Source organism: Homo sapiens, chromosome 18 (genome assembly GCF_000001405.40).
Source record: "Homo sapiens chromosome 18, GRCh38.p14 Primary Assembly".
Classification (NCBI taxonomy): domain Eukaryota; kingdom Metazoa; phylum Chordata; class Mammalia; order Primates; family Hominidae; genus Homo; species Homo sapiens.
The window spans coordinates 76,652,389-76,667,424 of NC_000018.10; the positions used below are offsets into that span (position 1 = coordinate 76,652,389).

Consider the following 15,036-nt stretch of genomic DNA (forward strand, 5'->3'; position numbering starts at 1 on the left):
TGTCTGATTGCTTTAGCTAGGACTTTCAAGGACTGTGTTGAATAACATAGTGCTGATTGAATAACATAGTGATGAAAGTTGGCATCCTTGTCTTGTTCCAGATCTTAGAGAAAAGGATTTCAGTTACTTCCCATTCAGTATGATACTAGTTGTGGGTCTGTCATATAGGGCTTTTATTATGTTGAGGTATGTCCCTTCTATACCCAGTTTTTTTTTTTTGAGGGTTTTAAGTTACAAAGGGATGTTGAATTTTTTCAAATACTTTTTCTGTGTAAACTGAAACGAACATATTATTTTTGTTCTTCATTCTGTTGATAAGATGTATCGCATTGATTGATTTGATTTGCATACGTTGAACCATCCTTTCATCCCTAGGATAAATTCCACTTGGTCATGATGAATGATCTTTCTAATGTATTATTGACTTTGGTTTGCTAGTATTTTTGCATCAATATTCATCAGGATTTTTTTAATCAATGTTTATTAGGGATATTGGCCTGTAGTTTTCTTTTTTAGATTTGTATTTGTTGGTGTAGGTATCAGGGTAATACTGGCCTTATAGAATGAGTTTGTACTCTATTTTTCAGAATTGTTTGAGTAGAATTGGTGTTAGTTCTTCTTTAAATGTTTAGTAAAATTAGGCAGTAAAACCATTCGGTCTGGGGCTTTTCTTTGCTGGGAGACTTTTTATTATGGCTTCAATGTTGTTATTTGTTATTTTGGATTTCTTCAAGGTGCAACCTGGGTAGGCTGTATATGTCTAGGAATTTATCCATTTCTTCTAGGTTTTCCAATTTCTTGCCATATGGTTGCCCATGGTAGCCTTTAATAATTGTTTCAATTTCTGTGGCATCAGTTATAACGCCTCCTTTTTCATCTCTGATTTTATTTATTTGGGTGTTCTCTCATTTTTTTCTTATTGAGTCTGGCAAAATTTGTCTATTTTGTTGACCTTTTCAAAAAAACAACTTTTGATTTCATTGATTGTACTGTTTTCATTTAAGTTTCATTTCTTTCTGCTCTGATCTTTTTTTTTTTTTTTTTTGAGACGGAGTCTCGCTCTGTCGCCCAGGCTGGAGTGCAGTGGCGGGATCTCGGCTCACTGCAAGCTCCGCCTCCCGGGTTCACGCCATTCTCCTGCCTCAGCCTCCCAAGTAGCTGGGACTACAGGCGCCCGCCACTACGCCCGGCTAATTTTTTGTATTTTTAGTAGAGACGGGGTTTCACCGTTTTAGCCGGGATGGTCTCGATCTCCTGACCTCGTGATCCGCCCGCCTCGGCCTCCCAAAGTGCTGGGATTACAGGCGTGAGCCACCGCGCCCGGCCTCTGATCTTTATTATCTTTATTTCTGTTTTGTTTTTTTGAGACAGAGTCTTGCTGTGTCACCAGGCTAGAGTGCAGTGGCGTGATCTCGGCTCACTGCAGACTCCACCTCCTCAGCCTCCCAAAGCGCTGGGATTACAGACATAAGCCACCGCACCTGGCCACCAGGCTTTTTATTACCATCAGTTCTCATGCAAACTAAGAGTGACAATTCGCACAAGTGAGACTGTCACCAAGCCATTTATGAGAGATCTGTCCCCAAGACCTAAACACCTCCCACCAGGCCCCATCTCCAACACTAGGGAACCAACTTCAACATGTGACTTGGCAGAGCCAAACAAACTATATCCAAACCACAACAGTTCCTGAAGGTGAGGTGTAGCATTTGTGTCTTATTTGAGGGATCCTTTATACATTCTGCCCATAGCAGTGTTGTCTGTCTGGGAATTAATTTTCTCAAAAGGCAGTGACTGTGTCTGTCACATTCACTTTTTGCTGATTCAGCAGTGGTGCTTGAGAACTTCCAGACTGAGTGGAAGGGGTGAGAAAGAAGGGAAGAGCAGGTCTCATGAGTGCACCAGGGAGCCAGGTACTGAGCAGTTAGGAAGAAAGACAGGTGGTGTGTGACAGACTGCCACGGTTACCACTTGAGACTGTCATTACCACAGTTACTACTGTTACTACTTGAGACTGTCATTATGACAATTGCTACTCTTACTACTTGAGACCATCATTATGACAATTACTACTGTTACTACTTGAGACCGTCATTATGAGACTGAATGAAGGGGGATGAACATAGAAATGAAAACTTAAGACAAAAGAAACTGTTTTAAAGGAAAGGGCCAGGGGAAGAAGAGAGCTCCCCGCTTCTAGTGAGCAAAGGCAGCAGCCCTGAGCTTCTCCAGCCCTTTGTATTTATTGGGTAGAAAGAACAGGGAGGAGGAGGTGAGACTGGTCAGCTGCTTAATTGATCACAGGTTCACATTATTGCTAACAGGCTCCAGATGCGTCTAATCCCAAGCAACACTTGTGCCTGGGTTGTGACTGCCCTCAGCATTCCTTCTGGGCTGCAGATGCAGTTTGTCAGTTTGCCAACATCCTGCTTTCATGAGAACAGTTTGCTGTTTACCCATATGGCCTCCAGTGGTGCACTGAGTTGATCACGACCCTCACCCTTTTGGCCTTCAACAGTGGTGGCCAAGGGACAGACTCTGGCGTCACAGGGTCCACTCACTGTGTCTCAGTCTGTTTGGGCTGTTATAGCAAAGTACCATAGGCTGGGTGGCTCATTAGCAACAAAACTGTATTTCTCACAGTTCTAGAGGCTGGCAAGTCCACAGTCAAGGCAGATTTGGGGTCTGTTGAAGACCCATTTTCTGGTTCGTGGATGGTACCTTATTGCTGTGTTCTCACGCAGTGGAAGGGACAGACAAGCAGTCTCTCTTGGGGCCTCTTTTATAAGGCACTAATTCCATCTATGAGAGCTTCAGCCTCATGACCTTATCTGCTCCCAAATGCCCCATCTCCAAATACCACCACCTTGGGAGTTAGGATTTCAATGCTTTGGGTGATGTAAACATTCACACCACAGCCTTGTGGGACACTGGGCAGGTTACCTTCAGTGCCTCATGTTCATTACCTGTGCAGTGGAGGATCGTAACCACACAGGGCGAGAATAAGGCATAAGCAATATCACTAAGGACACCGCCTGGCTAAGAGGTGGCACCAGGAAGTGACTACAGTTTCCATGTTACCTGCATGTGTGCCCCAGGAAGGTCCGACTTTTCCTCTTGGTCCACTTGATCGCCTATTAAGTAGTCTACACACTGTTACAATTTGCTAGTAGTACATCAACTACAAGTTGATGCAATGAAGTTGGCCAAAGGAAAAACGAGGGATCTGGAGTCTGGCTGGATGCCCTTTCCACGGGCTCTTCCCAGAAATGGCTGTGTCTCCCTGCTCCTGGTCCTCCAGGACCCATCTCCTCCCCATGATCCTCTCATGAGTTGTCTTCAAGAGGAGGTAGCCCTTTGCTATTTGAAACCACACAATTAATGGAGAATGCTGGAACGTACTCAACACTAAATCTACTTTATAACTTTTTAGTGTCTTTTATCTGGTGTCTCCAACTTCTGTAAAAGGAAAAGAATTTCAGCCCTAACCAGAATAGCCTTCAGTTACTGATGGTATCAGTAAACACCGAGGGCTTTGCTTGAGAAGATACAGCCACTTCTGGCCATAAATTCATTTTTCAAAGACCCCTTGCCTATAATACCTGGGCAAAACCACTCAAGAACAAATGGTATTGTTCACATTAAACAAAAAAGCAAAATTTCCAACAGCACCACCCCTGCTCATGTCCCACATCTATGGAACCAGTTCTTTACTTTCTGAAGCACAGAGGAGTTTTACTGTCTGGACATACCCAGCAGGAAAGGGTCAATCGTTGGCATTATCTGAGGAAGTCCATGTTTCCCCTTATATGACACCAATAACCAATTGCTGTCGTGAGAGATTTTTCCACATTAACTCACTTAATCCTCATAAGAACCCTATAAGGTAGGGACTATATTTAGCTCCATTTTATAGGAAAATGCGAGAGGAAAGCTGCATCACTTGCCCGATGTTACACGTCCACTAGACGGTGGTTGGGGGACCCGGGTTTGGACTGAGCAGCTCCTGCCTTTGTCATCCATGGCATGCACCCTCTTGCTCGGAGGAGGTCCCCTGCATCAGCCCAATCCTGGCTTGGAAAAGTCTCAACCTAAAATGAGTGAGAGCAGTTTGAGTATCGTGAGTAAAATTTGGAATAAATTAAAGATTTAATGTTCCCTTATTAACAAAACATAACTAGCTGTGCTTCAAAAAGAAAAAAAACACTTTTGAATATTGAAAAGGCATTTCTTTTATTTACATAATGATCTATATCCAGATGTACAGGAAACAAATCCCAGGTTATAACAATACCTACAGCTCCGAGAAAGATACCTCTTATTATGCTGTATTTCTAATACAACTGATTCTAAATACAATTGATCCTCTTAAATTCCATTTTGAAATATTTTCCCCATCTGCTTGCTTACAATCTATTTTTCAGAAGCAACTGAGTATACATTCGACATAAAACTGAAATATTTACTCAAAATGTCAATGCATACTGCTCCTGACACATTTATATGAAGGATAATTTCTTGGTGATTGAATAATTTTTAGGACTACTTTTTGAAACATCCCTTGTAAGTAATTTAGACCTAGACTGTATTTCCTATAATGTTAAGCACTCAGTAACTGTTAAGAGGCATAAATCAGCTTACTTTGTAAATTAGTTTAAGTGATCGCTGCTCCTAGGAAAAACAGAGACTGTTCCCAGTGCCCCTGATGACAGATGGGGGCCAGGATAAGGAGCATCCTGCTCTGTGGACATCTTCTTTTCACTTCTCCCCCTGCATACTTCAAAAAATTCCATTGTCGCTTTTTAAATTACACAAAGGACATTCTAGCAGTGTTATGACTGAGGAGTGCATAAGGTAAATATAGGAAAATACAGATCAACAAATTTGTATAAAAGCATATGTCAACGGCTCCTTCAAATAGGCTCCAAATTGAAGTAGTGGAAGTAACAGTTAACTTTTAGTTGCAAAAGATTAAGAGTCCTGCTCTCTCTTGTGGCACCTCTCTTCCCATTTCTCTGGAACTTTTTGCTTCAATGTAGCTCCATTTATTGTCATGGTGCTTAGGCTGGGGCACTTTGTTCTGGCCATGCAGTTATCTGGGTCTGGATCAGTCCCTTTACTGCAGCCTTTATTGGTACTCAAAGGGTGAGGCTCATAAAAAAACAGGACCAAAGAAATGCAGCCACCACAGCTCAGGAGCCAGGCTAAAGCAGGAAATGATAATGATCTCTACCAGGGCTTTCAAGAGCTCAAAGTACTGTAAGAAAATGTGAATCACGGACCGTCTGAAATGAAGCCCCTCCAAGTCAGGATGGAAAGGAGGTGCCGCCATCTAGGAGAAATGTGTGGAGTAGACGTGGATGAGCAAACCATCTGGAGTTTTATCAGCGTCCTTCTTGTTCCCTGGAAAAAAAAAATGTAAACTTTGCACAAAAAACACCATTTATTATTTATTTTTTTCCTTCCCTTCCCTTGGTAGCTTTCTGAAAAGACCAGAGCTTAATAATTCAATGATCATAAAAATTTCTTCAACTTAATGAGAAATTCAGTTCTTTCCTTGCAGGGCAAAAAATCTCTCACATTCTCACATTGTATCATGGCAGGGAACACTGCATCCGTGTGGAGAAACACCATGATCCGCTGAATAAAATCTCTCAGGAAACCTGAAGCCACTCACTAGACTGTGCAAGGCGGATTAAGATCGAGGGCGACATCGCAGTAGAGTCTATATATAGATGCCCACATGATGAAGAGCTCGAGGAAACCTTTTCTGGTCAACTCACCAAAGCTTTCAGCTACATCTGGTTATGATGGGGCATGAAACTCCTGTTACATTCTGGAAAAACAATTCAGCTGACCACAGACCACCAAGTCGATTTTTGGTCTACACTGGAGAGAACTTCCTCCCTTAGAACGTTGGAGGAATCAGACAGAACAAGGTCTGTTGCTCATCTGATCTCTAACAGGGAAGAGATCATGAGAGATTTAGAAATCAGTCTCTTGGAGGTAGATGGGTTAGAGGAATGAGTGGCAAAAAAAAAAAGACACAATATATAAAGGGAAGAAAACTGAAATCAGAAAAAGAAAGAAAAAGAACTTTCAGAAATATATGTTCTATTTAACACAGTGGATTGACCAGATGGATTTTATCTTCTCTTTTACCTAAAGCTCTGCATAATAGTTTTAAAGATATTATTCATAATAACAAAGAAAATGAGAGGAAAAACAGCAGCCAGTGAGATATTTCAACAAGGTACAGAAAGCAGGAACAGATGAGAGGTGGTAAAGTACAGGGAACGTGTCTACAGCTGAAGATGTGGACAGGAAGAGGTCGTTTACCACAAGGAGCCCAACAAAAAGGGTCTCCTTCCATAGCTGGGCCACAGGGGGAGCTCTTGCCCTCCTTCTCCATCTCACAGGGGTGGGGGCGCTCCATGCAGGGGGCCCAGGAAGAGTTTCCTCAGTGCAGGAGCCCCTGACCACCTGCTCCCAGACAATCAGAAGCCATGGGTGGGCGGCCTTCCCCCGACAGGGGAAATGAATGATGCCCCTAGCCCACAGGCCCTGCCGTGACTCAGTCTGGTTTTTAGTACCTTGGTCGTCAATGTGAAAGGACAGTCTAGCACCACAAAAGATTTGATTTAAAAAAAATAATGAAAGTTACAAAAATTAACATAGAGGAAGCAGTCTATAAAGAGAGCAGAAAAAAACTTTTAAAAAATCTATATTAACATCCTTAGGCAAATGCTGCATTCATAAAACAGCAAGATGAACGCACACGTGCACGCAGACAGAGACTAAATCACAGCTCCTGGAATTTGTAGGAATGACAACTAAAATAAAACAAAATTTCTGGCCAGGCGCAGTGGCTCACGCCTGTAATCCCAGCACTTTGGGAGGCTGAGGCGGGTGGATTACAAGGTCAAGAGATCGAGATCATCCTGGCCAACATGGGGAAACCCCATCTCTACTAAAAATACAAAAATTAGCTGGGCGTGGTGGCGGGCACCTGTAGTCCCAGCTACTCAGGAGGCTGAGACAGGAGAATAGCTTGAACCCAGGGGGCAGAGGTTGCAGTGAGCTGAGATCGCGACACTGCACTCCAGCATGGCGACAGAGCGAGACTCCGTCTCAAAAAAAAAAAATTCTGTAGAAGGTCTGAAGGATGAAGTCAAGTAAAAGTTCACAGAACTAACAAGTGCCCAAATGTAAGAGACCTGCCAAGGACCAGCAGAATGAAAGGAGACATGATCACAGGTCTGTCGTCATGGAATTCCAAGACGCCATCATTCAATAGATGATCTTGAGGGCTTTAAAATGGGAACAACAAACAAGCAGCTCCCAGGTGAAAAGGCATTAGAATGGAAGTGAGTTGCTCAGTCGCAGGGAGGCTGGAAGATGCCGCAGTGCCTTCAATATGGTCACTGTGGCCTGTATTGCAGCCTGGGAGACACAGCTGCCCAGGAGTTGATCTTTGTTGAGGCTGCATGGTGCGTGTTCACAGGGGTCCATTATGCTACTCTCTCTTTTTTTTATATATGTTTAGAGTTTCAAAAATAGAAATTTTAGGACCTACTGTGAAAACCAGCCAAAAACAACAAGGCAACAATAGGAGAAAGTGAATGAAGCCAGCGTTGCCGGTACACACAGATGACGTAAATGGATCGGGTCAGTGGTCAACACCAAAAGAACGGCCTGGAGGAGGGTCTGGCTCTATTGGACATTTTCTTTGATAAAAATAAAAAGTAAATAGGGAAATGCTAAGTGGAAAGCTATAGTAAAACTGTAGTTTTATATCAAACCATAAAACATGAAGGTAAAATAAAGACGTGTAGTCCTGCCGGGCCCTCAGAACCGTGCCCCTCTGCACCCTTCTTAGGATGCTACTGAAGGATGCCTACCTTCTGGAGGAGAAGAGGAAGGCCCCAACCCTGGGAAACAGGGTCCCACAGATAACAGTAACAGTGGGAGGGTCCAGGAGTGACTTCAGCTGCTCATCAGGTCCAGGGAGCGATCAGTCCAGGCTGATCTGCCCCTCCAAACACTCCATCTGCCCCCCGCCCCATCTCCCTTCCCATCTGTCTACAAGAACACAAAGAGGGGCGAAGATAAGGCAAAGGGATGGGGCTGTGGGTCCTAGGTGCAGTAGACACAGCTATGGCTCCCAATCAGGTGTCTCTCCCAAAACCAAGTTCATGGGGTGCACACCAAATGGGGACTCACAGTGATTAGAGCTGTTTTCATAGGAGAGAGGGGTCCCAATCCCCAGGGAGATGCTGGCCCAGCCAATCCAGTTGTATTTGGAGGGAGAGACCAGAATGGGGAGGAGGAGCAGGCAGAGGATGTCTGTACCAGCTGCCATCACTGTCTCCACTGTGAGGATGGTTCATTTTCCTTCACCAGTTGGCCTCCTTGGGAAGTAGCCAGGAATGGTTGGTGCCTCTTCCAAGAAGGCCTGGCAGCACGAGGGGCTTGTTGCAGCAAGAGGCTGGGGGTGAACAGCCTCAGGCAGGTGGGGCCCCGCCCTGGAGGGGCTGGGGACAGAGTTGGAACAGGCCATCTGGAGTCAGCTTACCTCTTTAGGGACACGAACAGGGACACCCCTCACCCGTACACTGCGTACATCCATACTCTGAAGAATTCACGCCATGCCCAGGGGGGACCAGCATCCAGCCCCCTGTATTGGTGTGTCACCTGTGTTTGCCACAAGAACGGCAACATCCAAACTTCATCTTCCTGAAGTCACAATTCAGCTAGATCACAAAAACAGGGTCTTCGCGAGTGGTGCAGCTGTAAGGTGGCAAAGCGTATGAGGACTCCACAGCACAGGAGAAATAACAAACACTCATATACTGCCAGGTCTACTAGGTGAAGGAAAAAGGTTTTTAAAACTCCCTTTCTGAAAGAGGAAAGCAAAACAACAGAATGTATATATTTTTAATGTTTGAATTAATTATCTTTGCTGAAGAATGCTTCTGTGAACATCAAACTTGCATAACCTCCATATAGATGCACGGGTGGAAAAGCAAATTAATAGAGGAAGACGAATAACCAAATAATCACTTTGCAAAGGGTGCGTTTGCTCTGGGGAAGTCTGATGTTTTACACTCCTGGCCATTTTACACATTGGCACACATCAGTCACTGTGGGACACAGGCAGTCACAGGAGAAGTCCCAGAGGACAAAGAGAGTCTCCGGAGGATTTTCAAAGGAGACACTGTGGCCATTGTTTAAAAGAGATGACCTAGTACCCAGTTACAGACTCTTCACCTTTGAATCAATACTTGGAAAGATCCTGGAACAAATAATCAGATACTCAATTGGCCATCAACTAGAAGGGTGGAAGATGCTAGGAAGGAACCGGCAAATGTTCCTGAAGGGCAAATGGAGTCGTGTAACCCAAGGCCCCACTTCAAAGCTTAAGAACACAGGGAACCAGAGGCCGTGGCTCAAACCTGTAATCTCAGCACTTAGGGAGGCAGAGGTGGGAGGATCTCTTGAGCCCAGGAGTTCAAGACCAGTCTGTGAAACATAGTCAGATCCCATCTTTACAATTTTTTTTTTTAATTAGCCAGGAATGGTGGTGTGCCCCTGTGATCCCAGCACTTTGGGAGGCTGAGGTAGGAGGATCCCTTGAGCCCAGCAGTTCAAGACCAGTCTGGGAAACAGCCAGATCCCATCTTTACAATTTTTTTAAATTAGCCAGGAATGGTGGTGTGCCCCTGTGGTCCCAGCACTTTGGGAGGCTGAGATAGGAGGATCGCTTAAGCCCAGGAATTTGAGGCTGTGGTGAACTATGATGGTCCCACTGCACTCCAGCCTGGGCAACAGAGTAAGACCCTGTATCAAAAAACAAAACAAAGCAAAAAAGAATACAGGGTGCCAAGGACCCCTGGAGGTCGAGCACTGCAGTTGCCAACAAACTTGCTAAGGTAAGAAGTATTGTAGGGTATTGTGATACATCTCTTAAGCACCTATAAATAGTGTATTTAGATACAAATCTTTCTAAACATGAAAGATAAAATGTAACACATATACAATAGGGTATAAGGGCTGAAGAGCAAAACCCTAGCAAGACTGCACCTGAGCAGCTAGAGCAAAGAATTCGAGGGCCACACAGGGGTAACCAGTTTCCTGACATAAAACTATCTGTTCCTTACCCAATTCCAGAGAGGTTTGCAAATACTAATCCAACCATATCAACCAAGAGAAGGGAAGGCAAGTTGCAAAGTGAATGCCGGAGAAGAATTACTCCTAGCATTTGTATTATTCTGTTTAATAACAGTCACAACAAAAACAAGGGCTAACGTTATTTGAGCTTGCTAATCTGCCAAAAAATGTCCTAAGCACTTTAATCTTTTAACCCACATAATCAGTATAACAACCCTCTGAAGGTGAACTCTTATTATCCGCGTTTTACAAATGATCCAGCTGGGGCCCTGAGAAGTAGAGCAGCTCGTCCAAGACCACACAGCTCAGAAGAGAAAACAACATAGTTCGCCAAAACCAAAGAACACAAGGAAACTTTCATGCTTTAATGTTCCTCAAACTCACTCACATGGCATGATGAACTGATAAAGATATCCCGCTAAATATAATTAAATGTAACATTTTGTGCTAGATCAAATAGTACATTTGCTTTTACTCATTTCAAGTATAAAAAGCAACAGGTATTAGAGAAAATTAAAAAGCATTTTTAAATTTTTTTATTATACTTTAAGTCCTGGGGTACATGTGCAGAATGTGCAGGTTTGTTACACAGGTATACATGTGCCATGGTGGTTTGCTGCACCCATCAACCCGTCATCTACATTAGGTATATCTCCTAATGCTATCCCTCCCCTAGCCCCCACCCCCTGACAGGCCCTTGTGTGTGATGTTCCCCTCCCTGTGTCCATGTGTTCTCATTGTTCAACTCCCACTTATGAGTGAGAACATGCAGTGTTTGGTTTTCTGTTCCTGTGTTAGTTTGCTGAGGTTGATGGTTTCCAGCTTCATCCATGTCCCTGCAAAGGCCATGAACTCATCCTTTTTTATGGCTGCATAGTATTCCATGGTGTATATGTGCCACATTTTCTTTATCCAGTCTATCATTGATGGGCATTTGGGTTGGTTCCAAGTCTTTGCTATTGTGAACAGTGCTGCAATAAACGTATGAGTGCATGTGTCTTTATAGTAGAATGATTTATAATCCTTTGGGTATATACCCAGTAATGGGATTGCTGGGTCAAATGGTATTTCTGGTTCTAGATCCTTGAGGAATCGCCACACTGTCTTCCACAATGGTTGAACTAATTCACACTCCCACCAACAGTGTAAAAGAGTTCCTATTTCTCCACACCTTCTCCAGCATCTGTTGTTTCCTGATTTTTTAATGATCTCCATTCTGACTGGCATGAGATGGTTTCTCATTGTGGTTTTGATTTGCATTTCTCTGATAACCAGTGATGATGAGCTTTTTTTCATGTTTGTTGGCTGCATAAATGTCTTCTTTTGAGAAGTGTTTGTTCACATCCTTCACCTACTTTTTGATGGGGTTGTTTGCTTTTTTCTTGTAAATTTGTTTAAGTTGCTTGTAGATTCTGGATATTAGCCCTTTGTCAGATGAATAGATTGCAAAAATTTTCACCCGTTCTGTAGGTTGCCTGTTCACTCTGATGAGAGTCTCTTTTGCCGTGCAGAAGCTCTTTAGTTTAATTAAATCCTATTTGGTAATCTTGGCTTTGGTTGCCATTCCTTTTTGTGTTTTAGTCATGAAGTCTTTGCCCATGCCTATGTCCTGAATGGTATTGCCTAGGTTTTCTTCTAGGGTTTTTATGGTGTTAGGTCTTACATTTAAGCCTTTGATCCATCTTGACTTTATTTATTTATTTTTTTTGAGACGGAGTCTCACTCTGTTGCCCAGGCTGGAGTGCAGTGGCACAATCTCGGCTCACTGCAAGCTCTGCCTCCCGGGTTCATGCCATTCTCCTGCCTCAGCCTCCGGAGTAGCTGGGACTACAGGCGTCCACCACCACGCCCGGCTAATTTTTTGTATTTTTAGTAGAGACGGGGTTTCACCATGTTAGCCCGGATGGTCTTGATTTCCTGACCTCGTAATCTGCCCACCTCAGCCTCCCAAAGTGCTGGGATTACAGGCATGAGCCACTGCACCCAGCCTTGAGTTAATTTTTGTATAAGGTGTAAGGAAGGGGTCCAGTTTCAGTTTTCTGCATATGGCTAGCCAGTTTTTCCAACACTATTTATTAAATAGGGAATCCTTTCCCCATTGCTTGTTTTTGTCAGGTTTGTCAAAGATCAGATGGTTGTAGATGTGTGGCATTATTTCTGAGGACTCTATTCTGTTCCATGGTCTATATATCTGTTTTGGTACCAGTACCATGCTCTTTTGGTTACTGTAGCCTTGTAGTATAGTTTTAAGTCAGGTAGCGTGATGCCTCCAGCTTTGTTCTTTTTGCTCAGGATTGTCTTGGCTTTATGGACTCTTTTTTGGTTCCATATAAAATTTAAAGTAATTTTTTCTAATTCTGTGAAGAAAGTCAATGGTAGCTTGATGGGGATAGCATTGAATCTATAAATTACTTTGGCCAGTATGGCCATTTTCATGATATTGATTCTTCCTATCCATGAGCATGGAATGTTTTTTCATTTGTTTGTGTCTTCTCTTATTTCCTTGAGCAGTGGTTTGTAGTTCTCCTTGAAGAGGTCCTTCACATCGTGCCACTGCACTCCAGCCTGGGCCACAGAGTGAGGCTCCAACTCAAAAAAAAAAAAAAAAAAAAAAAAGACAACAGCATTTCTTCCTCTTGAGTTTTCTAAATTACATTTAACAGTTGAAGCAAAACATTATCACTGTCTGATGTGGTTCTTAATGCAAGTAGAAGGAATATTTAAGTCAATTAAGGGAGGATAAAGGGACTTTAAAAAGTGACGATTTCTACACTTCACTCAAACTGTGCTGACATTTGCACCGGAAGACGGCGCTGAGTTACGTATATGTAATATAATACGTACAGCAACCAAAAAACAATGGAGACAAAGAGGTGTACTCAAAAATTTATAGATCAATTAAAATGGAAATCTATACAATATTCAAGTAACCCATAGGCAGGCAGGGAAAAAAAAAAGAAGGAAAAGAAAAATAGGAAACAAACAGAAAACAACAAAAAATAACTAAATAAAATGACAGACATAAGCCCTAACATATTCATAATTACATTAAATTTAAATGGGTTATGGCCAGGCACGGTGGCTCACGCCTGTAATGCCAGCACTTTGGGAGGCCGAGGCGAGTGGATCACCCGAGGTCAGGAGTTTGAGACCAGCCTGGCCAACATGGCAAAAACCCATCTCTACTAAAAGTACAAAAATTAGCCAGGTGTGGTGGCGCATGCCTGTAATTCCAGCTACTCCGGAGGCTGAGGTAGGAGAATCCCTTAAACCCAAGAGGCGGAGATTACAATGAGCTGAGATCACGCCTCTGCACTCCAGCTTGGGTGAGAGAACAAGACTCCATCTCAAAAAAAAAAAAAAAAAAAAAAAAAAAATTACTGGTTGTCAGGGGTTAGGGATGGTGGGGATAGGGAGGGAAGTGGCTTTCACTGTAAAAGAGTACCAAAGGGGAGGTCTTTGAGTTGATGGAACAGCTCTGTATCTTGAATATGGTGGAGGTTACACAAATCCACGCCTGTCTTAAAATGGGATGGAACTATACACACACACTGTAGCAATGCCAGATTCTTGGTTCTGATATTGTACTATAGATGTAACAATTGGGAGAAACTGGGTGAAGGTTATGTGAGATGTCTCTGTATTGTCTTTGCAACTTCCTGTGAATCTATATTTCAAAATAAAAAGTTAAAATTAAACAGCAGAAGTCTTACCAGGAAAAAGTACAAAGTAAAGAAAAAAGTAAATATTCTGACAAGATTAAGCTGTCCTGGCTGAGTATAAAAGACATACTGATTTAGCATAGAAAGAGTAACTGACTGAGCTGAACGCAGCCAGCAATCGAGCTCAGCCCTGGAAAACCTGCCATGACCCAGCAACGGTCTTCAGAGAGTCCGACAGGCACAGCATGAAGAACGATGCTTGTTTCTTTCTTTGGCATTACTCAGACTTTTGTTAAAAATGTGTACAGCTTTTGATTTTATACTTTTAAAAAGATGTTGCTCTATTAGTCTAAGATAAAAAATAATTAATAAGTGGTATAAGAAGGCTAAATAAATTAAGGGGGAATTTAATAATAAGATGGCAGAGAATGCTTGATTGTTTCTTCAAATTAAAGATGAATTTATAAAAAGGAGTACTGATTAGTTTTCATGCATCTGTAATAATAAACAATTAAAGCAAGAGCTTTAAGAGGTATGTATAGCACCGTTCTCACACTGCTATAAAGAACTTCCCAAGACTGGGTAATTTATAAAGGAAAGAGGTTTAATTGACTCACAGTTCTGCATGGCTGAGAAGGTCTCGGGAAACTTACAATCATGGCGGAAGGGGAAGCAGGAATCTTTTTCCAAGGTGGCAGGAGAGAGACTAGTGAACAAAGGAGGAACTTCCAAAGACTTTTAAAACCATCAGATCTCATGAGAACTCACTCAGTATCACGAGAACAGCATGGGAGAGACTGCCGCCATGATCCAATCACCTCCCACCAGGTCTCTCTCTCAACACCTGGGGGTTAGAATTCAAGATGAGCTTTGGGTGGGGACAAAAAGCCTAACCATATCAAGGTACTTTCATAAAATTCTCATTTAACTTTAGAATCTTGCACAATATTATGCAATACTCTGCAGTTCCATAACTTTTTATTTTTTTGAGATGGACTCTCGCTCTTGTTGCCTAGGCTGGAGTGCAATGGCACAATCTCAGCTCACTGCAACCTCTGCCTCCTGGGTTCAAGCAATTCTCCTGCCTCAGCCTCCTGAGTAGCTGGGACTACAGGGGTGCACCACCACGCCCAGCTAATTTTTGTATTTTTAGTAGAGACGGTGTTTCACCATGTTGGCTAGGCTGGTCTCAAACTCCTGACGT

At 42.9% G+C, this 15,036-nt stretch overlaps 1 long non-coding RNA gene across 1 annotated transcript, besides 1 other annotated feature; it reads right to left on the bottom strand.

Moving 5' to 3' along the window:
- Positions 1-3,928: 3,928 nt before the first annotated feature.
- LOC107985151 (uncharacterized) lies at positions 3,929-8,980 on the bottom strand. Its single transcript, XR_001753506.1, has 3 exons — positions 8,576-8,980; positions 5,283-5,403; positions 3,929-4,091 (listed from the first exon to the last, which is right to left on the bottom strand). It is a non-coding gene; the product is annotated as an uncharacterized LOC107985151 (long non-coding RNA).
- Positions 6,319-6,820: an enhancer, noted in NCBI's record as "NANOG hESC enhancer chr18:74370664-74371165 (GRCh37/hg19 assembly coordinates)". NCBI's record gives its function as "activates a minimal SCP1, AML or CMV promoter by ChIP-STARR-seq in primed H9 embryonic stem cells {active_cell/tissue: H9 hESC(primed)}" and the evidence as "EXISTENCE:reporter gene assay evidence [ECO:0000049][PMID:30033119]".
- Positions 8,981-15,036: the final 6,056 nt, after the last annotated feature.